This window comes from Homo sapiens, chromosome 2 (assembly GCF_000001405.40).
Source record: "Homo sapiens chromosome 2, GRCh38.p14 Primary Assembly".
Lineage (NCBI taxonomy): Eukaryota > Metazoa > Chordata > Mammalia > Primates > Hominidae > Homo > Homo sapiens.
Window position 1 is genome coordinate 115295214 of NC_000002.12, and position 13286 is coordinate 115308499.

Genomic DNA, 13286 nt, shown 5'->3' on the forward strand with positions numbered 1-13286 from the left:
GGCTTTGAGGCGAGTAATTGCCTTACTCACCCACACAAAAATTTCAGCCAGAAAAGTCCTCCTTTAAGCAGAGCACAAATGATGTGAAATGCATACTTGCACAGATATAGTATAACTTACCTTGAGTTTATTTAATTATTCCTGGTCCATGGGATTTTTGAAAAATTGCCAGAATACTACTTTTCTGCAGATATAAATAAAAGGTCCAAATGTTGCTTAACTTCTTTTTTCCTGAATTGCATAGTATATATGTGTTAGAAATGGCTAATAACCGTCACAGAGTAGTTGAGAAGTTAAAACACACACAAATTCTTAATATTTCTAATTAAAAGCAGCATAGGAATATTGATTACTACAGTGGAAATGTAATGTGTTCTTTCTTTCCTTTTTAAATGCCTATATGGTACTTATTAACACTTTTAATGGCAAAAGCAATAAAAATAATTAAAAGCACATTTAGTTCCTGTTCTGCCTCATTTCATTAATTTCTGCTTTTTTTTCTTTTGGAGAAAAAGTTGTAAAATTGATGTCTTAGCTGTAGCTGCCTCTTTATGATATTAGATTTCTGTATGTAAAGAAGGTATTAGAAAAATTTTCTCCTGCACTCAAGGAATCTTTAAACTTAAAATAAAAAGTGATTATACCTTCTATTTTCAAGGCAGAATAAAAATGTTTTACAATGAATAGAATTCTTGATTTTCAAAGAAGTTTATTACATTTGATTTTGTCAGAGTTAATAAGTGATAATAAATAAATGTGTGGAAAAATAAACTTTTGAACTAGATCAAATGTGTTTGTTTCTATTTCAGTATTGGCTTTGATGCCTAAGAAAGCAAAATATTTATCTACTGAAAGAGCTTATGTCTTTGTGGCCCCCAGCTTTTCCTCTGGTGAGCCTTAGGAAAAATGGCACTTGCTCTGGAGGCAGGGAGGAAACTCCAGATCAGACCCAGGTTTCTGGCTTGGGAGGTGGTGGTGGTGGTGAAGGAAGTGCAGTTGGTTAAGATAAGGAGATGAGGTGAATTGCCAAATTTTCACCCAGATGCTCGGCGGCCTCTAAAGGTCGGTGGTGTTACCAGGCGCAAATTAGTAATGCTGGCTTTGAACTTACCTTGAAGCTGCAGTGCCACTTGTTCTTTTCATGCAGTCGTATTTCGCCAATGGCTTTTTACTATTTTCTTAACCTATGTTTGGCATCTTACCTGACTCCTGGGCAATTACAACCTTTAACCACTAGAAAAGGAAGTACATTAAACACACCTTGTTCATCTTGAAGAGAGAGCAGGGGAATGGGGGTTTCCTCAGCCTGGGATGACTTTCTTCTGCCTTTCAGATCTAAGCTCTTTCTGACCTGGATCTTATTTAACTGGGAAACGGCCAGGATAGATTTGATCTTTAGCGTTTCTAACAAACATCATCAGGGATCTCTCTTTCCTGAATCCTATCACATTTAGCATCTTGCACCACAGTGCTGAGTATTTTTAAAAATATAATTTTCTCTTTTGTTCTTCTGATGTTTAATACATTATTCATCTTCCCAAATAGATTCTCATTTATCTGGGTGCAATAAGTTCATCTAGAGTCCTTCCTTACCTACTTTCCTTCCTTTCTTCTTTCATGCATTCCTTCTTCCCTCCATTAGTAATAGGCTGACTCTATACTAAGACTTCAAAAATGTGCATGTTCTTTAAGAGTTTACAGATGTTCTAAAACTGACTGTTTCAGAGGAACTACTTTCCTTGACTCAATAATAGTTAATCCTCAAGAACGATTATGTATAGTTTTTTTAATTCTTCAACTTTGTGAGATGTGGTTATAAAACTTAAATTGATATAGATGAAACAGTTTATAAATAGTTTTCACTTGCATTATTTCTTGGAAAGCTCGTAAATACTGTATGCAAGTATCCCCTCCATTTTCTATGTGAGCAGCATGAGCCTGTATTATATCTACGAAGTAAATGAGTGGGGGTAGGTTTTGTGACATGCTGGCTGCATCAGATAATGCTGCATGGCATAAGCTGGGCACACACTGCTGTTCCTGTTTTATGCCTAGGAAGATGAAAGCCTTATCTTAAATCATAAAAGTAATTATTAATGGGCAGCCCAGGTGGGCAGACCAGGCTGCCAAGTTTACTATTTTCTATCGCTCTACAATGAATATTCCACATTAGGTATAGATTATCTGTTGTCAAGAGAGTTTTATATCACACTTTGATATAAAATTAAGTGTAAAAAGCTATTGAGAATCAATATTTGACATTCTAAAAGTAACTTCAAGATGATAAAGAATAAATATTATACTAAGCCCAAAAATAGTTTCTGGGTTTGTTATATTCATCTGTTTAATAAATATAAGTGGATGCGTGGTGCACCAAGAACTTAGCTTGGCATTGAAAATGCAATGAGAAGTAACTATGTTCTCTACTCTCCTTGTGGACAAGAGTCTAGTCTGTTAACTAGAAACTACTTCTAGATGATTGGGCTGCAAATATGATCCTTCTGCTATGTTTTGCCTAGAACTTTAGGCAGAACTTTAGTTCTAGGCAGAATGTAGCAGAAGATTATATATGCAGCCTGCTCATCCCCTGAAATCAAGCTTAAAGATGATGGTCTGCCTTGTTAGTAATCCGTAGAGGCTTATCAATCCCAGAAATTTTGGGCTATTGTTCCAGTCTGTAGATCACTGACATTCTTTTAGTGCTCTTTCAACCACAATTTATAGTTCCCAGGATGGGTCAACAACTGTACTCCTGGGATGTCTTTTCTCTCTGTGTTTGAGATGCAGATAGCTAGTTATCCGCCAGTCCTCACAATGCTGAAATGCATCCCTCAAGATTAAAGATTCTATTCCTAACTTTAAGGAATAAATCTGAGCTTAGTGCTTCAGTCCAAATATTTTGTGAATACTTAGTATGTGCTTTACTAGGTGTTATGGATACAGAAATGAGTGTGAAATAGTCTCTGACCTGGTAGAACTCAATTTAGACTTAAACATAATTTGGAAAATAACACGTATGGAGGAAGATTCATAAGCCTGATCATGTGTGTTAGGCATAACTAGTTAGGCTTATAATTATGCTTAAATGGATTAGATCAACCGTGTATGTAACAGAGCTAGTAAATAGATAATTAGATATTAAAATGCAGGTGTACTGATTCCGAAGCCACTAACTCGTAATGCATCTACCAAATTCCTCTGAGTGTAAGATTGTTCATTTTAGCAGTTTCAGAACTGTGTCACTCCAGGACTTAATCTGTATGGTAGGGGTTCTCCAATTTGAGTGTGCACAGGAATCATCTGGAGAGCTTGGTACAACAAAGATTGCTCAGTCCTTCCCTCCCCAGGAACTCACTAGGTCTGAGCTGGGGATGAATAATTTGCATTTATATAAACTCAGGGGTGAAGCTGACCATATTTTGAGTAGCACTGACCTTGGGGACTGTTTCCCAGACTTCAGCACATAGTAGAGCCATCTGGAGAGCCTGTTAAAAGTGGCTGTTAGGACTTCCCTGGCCCTGGAGATTCAGAAGGGCTGTGATGGGGCTGAATAATTTTTATTTTCAACAAGCTTTCAGATGATGCTGATCCTACTGGTCCATGGACTGCACTGAGCTAAGGCATTGTCTAAATAGGTAGACAGAAGTAACCTACTAAGAAACTCAATTTTGAAAAATATGAAGGCTTGATCAAAATATGTACTCTCCTTAGCATGGAGTCCTTTCATCAGAGAAATGGGAAAAAGTAAAAGTAGGAAACTAAATGGCATGAATCTCATGGGCAATTTTAAGAAGCAGTAGGCACTCTAAATAGCAACTGACTTTGATATGTATGGAGGATGTTTTACATATATTGGGAGAAGATTGTCTGTCTGAATAATGTAACTGTAGAAAGACCCTTAGCTTTGTGTCTATTTAGAGGTCAATTTCAGTTTCTATCCCTCTTTTTAAAAATATCTTGTCCGTGTATTCTGTTCCTAACATTAACATATAAGGTTGATAGAAAATATGGATAATATAAAAAGTGGTATTGAATGATATCACTAGAAATAGTGTTCATGTAAAGAAAAGATATGGGCCAGCACCAAGTTCTGGGCAACTCCACAATTTTGAGAAATTGGAAGAGTGGCTGGCAAATAACAAACAGGAAAGTATGGTGTCACAGGAGCCAAGAAAATGTTCTCGTGGGAGGCTTCAGCAGTGAAAGGATTGGAATGCTGATAAGAAATACTGTAAGATGATGGAAGAATTGGCTGTCTAACTTGGCTCCATGGAGATCACGATATTTCTCATTGGAATGTTTTGCTCAACCCTAATTGTCCTTCTTTGCAGAATGAAAGTCTTGTGGGAAAATAGAGATTAAAATATAACTAATTCTGTCTATAAATTATATAGACATATATAAGAAATATATAAATTCAATCTATAAAATAGAACTAATGTGTTTGTGTGCATGCAACATTTTTCCGTGAAATATAGTTTTGCTTCTGTATTTTTCTGTTCTTATTCATGCCACACATTATTCATTAGCACAGATTTATATTCCATTTTGATAACTGATATCCACAGATATTGTTTTCAAAATTATTATTTTATATGATTATTTTTCCATCTAAATTTTAAAATCACTTTATCAATTAAGAAAAAAGTTTTATTTGGATTTTCACTGGAATTACTTTAAATTTGCAGATTAATCTAGGAAGAAGGGACATCTTTACCACATTGAATTTTCCTTAACAGGGATTTGAAGATTCTCTACATCCTTCAAGTGGTCCTATAAATTCTCTAATAACATTTTGTGGTTTTCCCTCTTTGGGCAATAATACTTTCTAAAGACATTTAATATATTGTTTTGCTATTATAAATGCTGTTTTTATATGTTTTTATTATAGTACTGTTCATTGACATTAAGTACATTTGCGTTGCTGTGCAACCATCACCACCAGCCGTCTCTAGAACTTTTTTCATCTTATCAAACTGAAACTGCATAACCATTAAAAAGATAACTTCCCATTTTTTCCTCTCTTCAGCCCCTAACAACTACCATTCTGCCTTCTGTCTCTAAGTATTTGACTACTCGACGCACGTCGTTTAAGTGGAATGATACAGTATTTGTCCGTTTGTGACTGGCTTTATTCCCCTTAACACAGTGTTTTTAAAGTTCATCTATGTTGTAGCAACTGTCGGGATTTCCTTCATTTTCAAAGCTGCATAATACTCATACATACACACACAGGCATACACACAACATTTTGTTATTCTTTTCATTTACCAATGATCATCTGGGTTGTTTCCACCTTTTGGCTATTGTAAATAATGCTTCTGTGAACAGAGGTGTACAAATATCTGTTTGCATCACTGCTTTCAATTGTTTTGGGTATATAACCAGAAGTGGAATTACTATTGATTATTAATGATAATCCTGTTTTACTGTTTTGTTAGATATATCACAATATGAATTCCCAGCTACAATTTTGGGGTCATTTTAAATACTCTCAGTTTTCTCATGTACCATTTTCTTGATTTTCTTTAGTTTGTCATTACTTTTCTTTAGCTCTCAGAGTGTATTTAAGGCAGTTGTTTTAAAGTCTTTCTCTAGTAAATCTGAAGCCTTGTTTCTTTAAGGTTGGTTTCCAGAGATTTATTTTGATCTTTTGAAAGGGCTGGATTTCCCTGTTTCTTTATATGCCTTGTGATCTTTTGTTGAAAATTGGGTGTCTGAAAAATCAGACACTTCTTCCAGTCACTGTAGACTGTGTGGAGGAAGATGTTCTCTAAATAGCCCGGTATGAAAGTTTAAGATTTTCTCAGGCATTTTCTAGGTCTGTGTCTTCCCTGGGCCTGTGTGTGTGGTGTTCTCTCCCAATTTCCCCATAGACGGGGCTGCTTTTATTTATTTATTTATTTTGAAGGCTGCTTTGAAATGTTTTATTATCCGTCCCTAAGAGTTTCACCCCTGCTTCTTCGTGAAATCTTGGCTGTTCCTCTGTACTACTCTTGCCTTAACAAACATCTTGCCCCCAGTTTCTGCATGTCAGCATACTCTTGCAGTTTTCACAAACTATGTTACCCATCACAGTTTTGCATGGCTTCCAAACTGAGATTCAAACTATATATTCATTTTCGTCTGAGAGCTCCAATTGAGGCAAGACAGAAACCAGTCCCTCAGGCAGCCCACAGACAGGCCAGAACTTTGCAAAATAAGTTCCACTGCCCTCCTTCCTTCCTGAGAGAAAAATACTGGAAAGTGGGCTACTTTTTTTTTTTTTTTTTTTTAACTGCACTCACTGTTCCAAGGTGGCGCAAGCACAAGCAATAATGCCGTGAAATGTCCTACCTTTTTCACTGTGGCTTTTTCTTGATGGGGCATTCACTTGGTTGGAAAGCAGTGAATTTGGCTGGTTACCAGAGCTCCCAAAAAGCTGTTTTAGTGAGTCGCTAGTAGTTTACTTGATGATCCTGTGGAGGAATGAGGACCTGGAGCTTTCTAATCTGCCATCTTTCTGATATCAAATCTGTTTGTTTGTATTTTGTCTTTTTTAGTAGCTTTATTGTAGTTTTTAACCCTAAATGTGTCCAGAATCACAGTTGCTTAGTCCTGTCTTAGACCTCTAAATCGTGATGCTAAAAGTGTAAAACTAACACCACACAATATATTAAGGATAGCTGTCATACTTATTTTGTTTCTAATTTACTGTTAATTCATCTAGGAGTGTGTATGAGTTCGTTTTGACATTACTATAAATAACTATCTGACACTAGGTAATTTATGAAGAAAAGAGTTTAATTGACTCCCAGTTCCACAGGCTTAACAGGAAGTATGACTGGACGGCCTCAGAAAACTTACCATCATGGTGGAAGGCAAAGGGGAAGCAAATACATGTTACCATGGCGGAGCAGGAGAGAGAGTGAGTGAAGGGGGAAGTGCCACACGCTTTTAAACCATCACGTCTTGTGAGAACTCACTCACTATCATGAGAAGAGCAAGAGGGAAATCTGCCCCCCGTCATCCACCAGGCCCCTTCTCCAGTTGATCCCACTAGGCCCCTTCTCCACCATGATATTTTGGTAGGGCCACAAATCCAAACCATATCCAAGTGTGCACCAATAATCGTAATTATTGGGGAGTGATAAATGTGAATTGCAACTCATATAATTGCGAGTTCTTTTATAAACAAATTAATTGTAAAAAAACAAACCCAAGCTTAGGCAACATAGCAAGACCCCATCTCTACACAAAATATATAGAAAAAAAGTAGCCAGGTATAGTGGTACATTTCTGTGGTCCCAGCTACTTGGGAGGCTGAGGTGGGAGGATCACATGAGCCCAGGAGGTTGATACTACAGTGAGCCATGATTGTGCCAGAGCAGGACCCTATCTCAAAAACAAAAACAAGAAAAACAATCCCGGAACAAAATAAATAAAACAAACAAAAAAGAGCAACAAAAGACACTTGCTTGGCATTTCTAACAAGCTTCCAGCTGATGTTGATGCCTTTGTACCATAGCTCAGATTCCAGTATGATTTAGCATATTTAACCTTATGTAGGTCAACAGCATAAACCTATAAAGAGTATAATTTTGAAAAATGTGTAACTTGTAATAAGTTATAAAAAAATTACTTTACTCAGCATAGAGTCCTCTAATCATAGAAGAAGGATAAATGAGGAAACTGTGAATGGCATGAGAGCAATGAGCAATTTTAAGAAGCAGTAGGCGGAGTAAGTATTAAGTGCAACTTAAATATAAGAAATAATCTCTATGATTATATTTTCTTTATTGGTATTCTTAACTGATGTCTTGTAGGAAACCATGACTGTTTCTCCTAATACTAGACAATAGTCCATAATGTTTGTTATTTATACTAAACTCTTACATTCAATTGACTAAAGTTGTCTTTAGTATAATTACATTTATTTCTTTAAATTGAATTTGAATTTTCTTTTTGTGGTATTTTTTTCAGACATACTATTCAGATGACACGAACTTAATAAAAATTTAGAATTTTTTTCTGCCTTCAATATGTTATAAAATATTTTAAATAGTGCAAAAGTTATTTGTTTCTTGGAGGCAAAAATCAGATTTTGCCTTCTTCTTTTGGAAACTCCTTGAAAGTTATCTCAGTTCCTTTTATGCTTATTAATCTAATATAGCTTGTAAATGTTGTCAATTATTTTTTCCAGAAGGAAAAGAAATGCACATTTTGTGGACATTTCCAAATACCTACATGTGTATTTTTATACACATTCTCTACTTTTAAAAAAACTCCTCTGATTCCTTTTTCATTCTAGATTTTGTATAGTTACATAATCCCAGCATATCCAGCACCTTTTTTATAGGATGTTGATTGAATGTGCATAGTGAATGTTTTATATCAATATAAGAAAATTAATAATTTTTTTCTTTATTTCCCATAGCAAAATTTTATGATTTATTCTTTTACCTTTATTTTTTTTAACCTTGTATTGTATTATTGCCTAGAAAATTCTTTCTCAGACTTTATGCTCACTGGGAACAGGTCTTATTTTAATTTGTATTCCCAGCTTCATCTTGTGTGGTATCCCAAACCTTAACACACTCCAGTACATTTTGTTAAATGGTAAATGGTATTATTTAAGGAAATTTAAATTGAATTTCTATATCTCAAGGCTTTTCAAGCCAGAGCTGGCTAAACATTTCTTAGGTGTGTTGTAAGAGCATGTTTCTTTAAGATGGAGTTTATTCCAGGTATCTTTTAAAGTTTTAACTCTTAAATGCTGTTTCTTTAATATCATGAGACAATATAGAAACTCTTAAAATATTTTAACTTCCTTTAGGATATTTTCGGATTATTCAGCATAAATGTCTTTGAACTATTTCAAACCTTTCCATATTTGACATTACTTACCGTTGAAAATATAAACACCATCAGTAAAATAAAATAACTAAAAGACAGTTCAAACTTTTGAGCTATTTAACAGAACGTGAACTGATGGAAGAGGAGACCCCATTTTTTTTTTAATTTTGAGGAACTTTATTGAACTTCTTTGAGAAAACATTAAGATTCTATGTGAAGATGTATTGAAGCAAGTCAATATAGGGAAGGGATAAAAGAAAGTGAGTAAATAAGCTTTTGAGTGATTGGTGTGATTGGGTTAAGAATGACGCTAAGAACGAACGTAAACAGTGTTCACACTCTAGGGCTAAAAACCCAAGTACATCTTTTCACACGGAAATACAGATATTTTTAAGAACCTTCCTTGTGCTTCTTAGAAAGTAGACAGGTGGTTGGAGAAAATCTATTTTTGTTAAAACACACCCACATTCAATCTAGATGTATAATTTCAATATCTCAATGATTTTTCCTTGTATTTTCTCTAAATGTCATGCTTTTCAGACTATTTCAATATAGATGGATTATATTTCTTTTCAGAATACATATGGCAGATAAATACATTGACGTTTTCCAAAGGAAAGTACAAATGGAATACTATTTCTTAAAAAAACAAATTTTGGTATCCTTTACTTCCTTATGAAGAAAAGCAAATCCGCTGGTTAAGATTTTTTCTTTATTTTGCCAAATAAAATGGTGTATTACCCTTGCATTTTTCCTACTTATTATTCCCAGCATTTTTCTCCTTGCACCTAAACAAATAAAAAATGAATTTGGACTTAGATAAATTATCTTTATAGTGGTAAGCCTTGTCTGGTAAACTAAACTGTTCCCTGAAGGATGATGAGTAATTTGTTGCTGGTAGATGTAATGTAAATAGTTAGGTTACAGACTCAGTTTAGTTTGGACTATAGCACTAACGTGTCTCTAGGCAATCACAATGTTTAATATGATCTGACGTTGAACACAAGCGTTTCAACTGATGCATCCATCCACCGGGGGGCTCATTTACAAAAGTAGCACCATCTATGGATCATTTAATGTTTGCCCCTAAGTTTCTAGACCCCCTCCTTGTGATATCATAATCTAACATGCACTTTGTTCTGTGACCAAAGCATCCAGATGACCATGTTGCAAGTTCCTAACATGTTCCTTGTCTAAGGCTGCTGCCCAGGATCATACCTGTTCTGTTGGTCTGGCATGTGCAATTGATTGCTTTCAGATGTTGGGTGGTAGAAAGCCATCAAAAACAAAGTCAATCAGGATCACTTTCACCACCACTTAATTAACTGGCTAATTACTTTCTAAGCACCTATTAAGAGAACAAGAGATTGTTAACTGACGTAAGGAATCTAAAATTGTCTAAGGCTGGGTGTAGTGGCTTATGGTTTTAATCCCAGAGCTTTGGGAGACTGACACAGGAGGATTGCTTGAGGCCAGGAGTTTGAGATCAGCCTGGGCAACATAGAAGACCTCGTCTTTACAAAAAATAATTTTAAAAAATTAACTGTGTGTGATGGCACTATGCCTGTCATCCTAGCTACTCAGAAGGCATAGGCAGGAAGATGACTTGAGCCCAGGAGTTTGAGGTTTCAGTGAGCTATGATTGTGCCATGGGACTCCAGCCTGGGTGACAGAGCAAGACCCTCTCTCTAACAACATTTTTTTAAATTAAAAAAAAAATAAAATTTTCTAAGATGTGATTCTTACATTAAGGAGTTAATAACTTTAAACCCAACAGGGATATGAGGGATCTTTATACATGGTTTTAAGCAACACCAACACTACCATTCACCATCATCATTATGACGATGATGATGTCATTCATTCATGACATAATGAATGATGAGAAAGAGTACAAGTATATTGAGGGAGAACATTCCAAACAGTTCACTTAGTGTAAACTTTCTTATCATATACTTAGGTAAGAGTTTTTTTTATGAGTTATTTTATTTTAATCCTTCCAACATTTAAAAATAATTGTCATTATTATTCCAGTTGTTCAGGTAAAAATTTTGAGGCTCAGAATAATTTAGAAGTGTGTTTGCAGTCTCCTAGCTCTCAAGTAGCGGAGTTGGATTCAAACTTACTGGTACAGTGTATTTTAGGCACTTTTCTTTCCAGAGAAAGGAAAGTCATATCTGGCTTGCATAACTAGGAGAAATTCCCAAGAGAAGAGACATTTGAGCAGGATGTTGAATGACTGACAGTGTCTATAACTGGATGCATATGAAAGGGGTTGGATGGAACAGAATTAGGAATGGAATGGTGATGTGAAGGTTGAAGCATCTGAGGCAAACGTAAGGAAATGGTAATCAGAGCAGCATGAAATACAAGATTCTTTCTCAAAAGCAGATTGTGCTGGCTGGGGAAACGGGAGCGTGGATACAGATAATTATTCTTCTAGACTGACACATTTGTGTTTGATTCTTTAGCCAGTGTAGGGATGTTAAAGAACTTTGGAGAAAAAAAGTAACGTAAGTAACACCATGCTTTAGAAATGTAATGGTAATAGAATATAAGGTGGATGGAAAGGGGAGAATTATATTACATTCATTAAGTCAGCAGTTCTCAAATAGGGACTTGTATATGCCTTGAGCATTGATGAGTCATTTCAGAGGAACCACACATTCTTATGTGCATCACTTTATGAACAGAAAAATATGTCTCGCTCAAATTTGTTTTACCACTTTTTAAATGGTGGACTTCCGTAGCCAGCTGTGACTTGGAAAATATACATTTATTTGCAAACATTACTGACTTCAGGATAGCATTACTGAATTCCACATATTACTGTGAATTTTCCCAAATAAAAAGTATTGATGTACAGTTATGTATGGGTCCAAATAACTTATTGATTTATTGATTCTTTAATGTACTTGTTCTAGAAATATTTATCTTTACAAGTGGCATTATAGTGGTTAAGTGTGATCTTTATAATCAGATTTTATGAACTAGAACTCCAGCTCTCCTACTTATTAGTGATAAAAGGATATGTTACTAATCTCTTCAAATCCCGTTTTCTTATCTGCAAATTTGTGAAGATGACACTAATCTTACCAGATTATTTTGAGGATTATGTGAGATTGCAAATCTAAAATATTTCAATACCAGACACATAATAATATATATAAGCTATTATTACTCTTTGTTAGACTATGTCTGGTAGACATTACATGGTTTTATCATATTCACAAACTGAAAAACACAGTCAAAAGTCATTTCTCAAATGGTTTGTCATGAGTTGGAGTGACAGCATATCAAGATCATAATCAGTAAATTTCAGTTTATAATTTTTTCTTGATTCTCTTACTGAATTGAAAAGTCAGTTATAATTGCTACATTTCTATTCTTTTTCCTGTTCTTACATTGTGAAACAATAATATGTGCTTGCTTCTGTTAGAGTTAATAAATAGGAAAGTATTTATGGTTCTTGGCCCAGATACCCATTCGCTGTTGGTTACTGCCCTTTTTTTCACTGTCTCAGTTCTTGAGATGAGTATTTCCCAACTTTCAGACCACTGTAGGTTTTGATTTACAGCAGCAGCCTCTCTCGTTCTGTCACTCTACCTTCTGAGTAGCCTTGAAGTAGGGCATCATTATAGAGAATCAGCAATCATCACAGCACACACATTCTAACAAAGAAACTCACCTAGAAACTTGCAGGAACGTTGCATTCCAGATAAGGGTTTATGGTCACAAGGCAACTATTGACTGTCTTTATATCACTTCTCTAAAGCTGATAATTTGGGGGACCCACTGTATTGATTTACGTGGAAAATATGAATGAGAATCCTAAAGTGCAAGAGGAATAGAAGTGTTGGATAATAAGCATTATTTGAAAAAGAGGTGTGGAGCAAGTCATTTAAGAAAAAGTGGAATTGATCTCTCCTGGATTTGGTTTATCAGAATGAAAGACTAACTTAGAGCGATTTATCTGAGAAGGGAAACAACAAACAACAAAATGCCTCCTATGCATGGTTTCTTCTTGTATTTATTTAGAGTCTAGTTCTTTAAATCTGCCGGGTTTATGGCACAATTCAATACCAAAATAACTATATGAATATTGACATCAATGTTTTAATCTGTGAGTCACAGGAACTCATGTACAAATTTATTAAATGTTTTCTATTCTGTTTATATTTGTTGACAACAAAGCGGCTCTACGGCTTCTGGTGTGATTTGTGCACATGTAGTGAGCTGGATATCTTCATATTTTGTTTCATTTATCACCAAATCTGTTAGCTATTTCTAAATAAAGAGGCTGTATTGAGAAAGGATGAAAAGCAGTTGGGAAATGGAGTAGGAAGAAAAAAATGAGAAGCTCAGTGTTTTATAAACTGTATTGCAAAAAAAGCTGACTTTCATTTCAAATCATTGTGGTCTGTGCTTTGCTTTGGTGAATTATGCCCACA

General features: G+C 35.2%; 1 protein-coding gene across 20 annotated transcripts in view; it reads left to right on the forward strand.

The window, feature by feature from the left end:
* The window catches only part of DPP10 (dipeptidyl peptidase like 10), a 1403140-nt gene that overhangs the window by 852573 nt on the left and 537281 nt on the right, over positions 1-13286 (forward strand).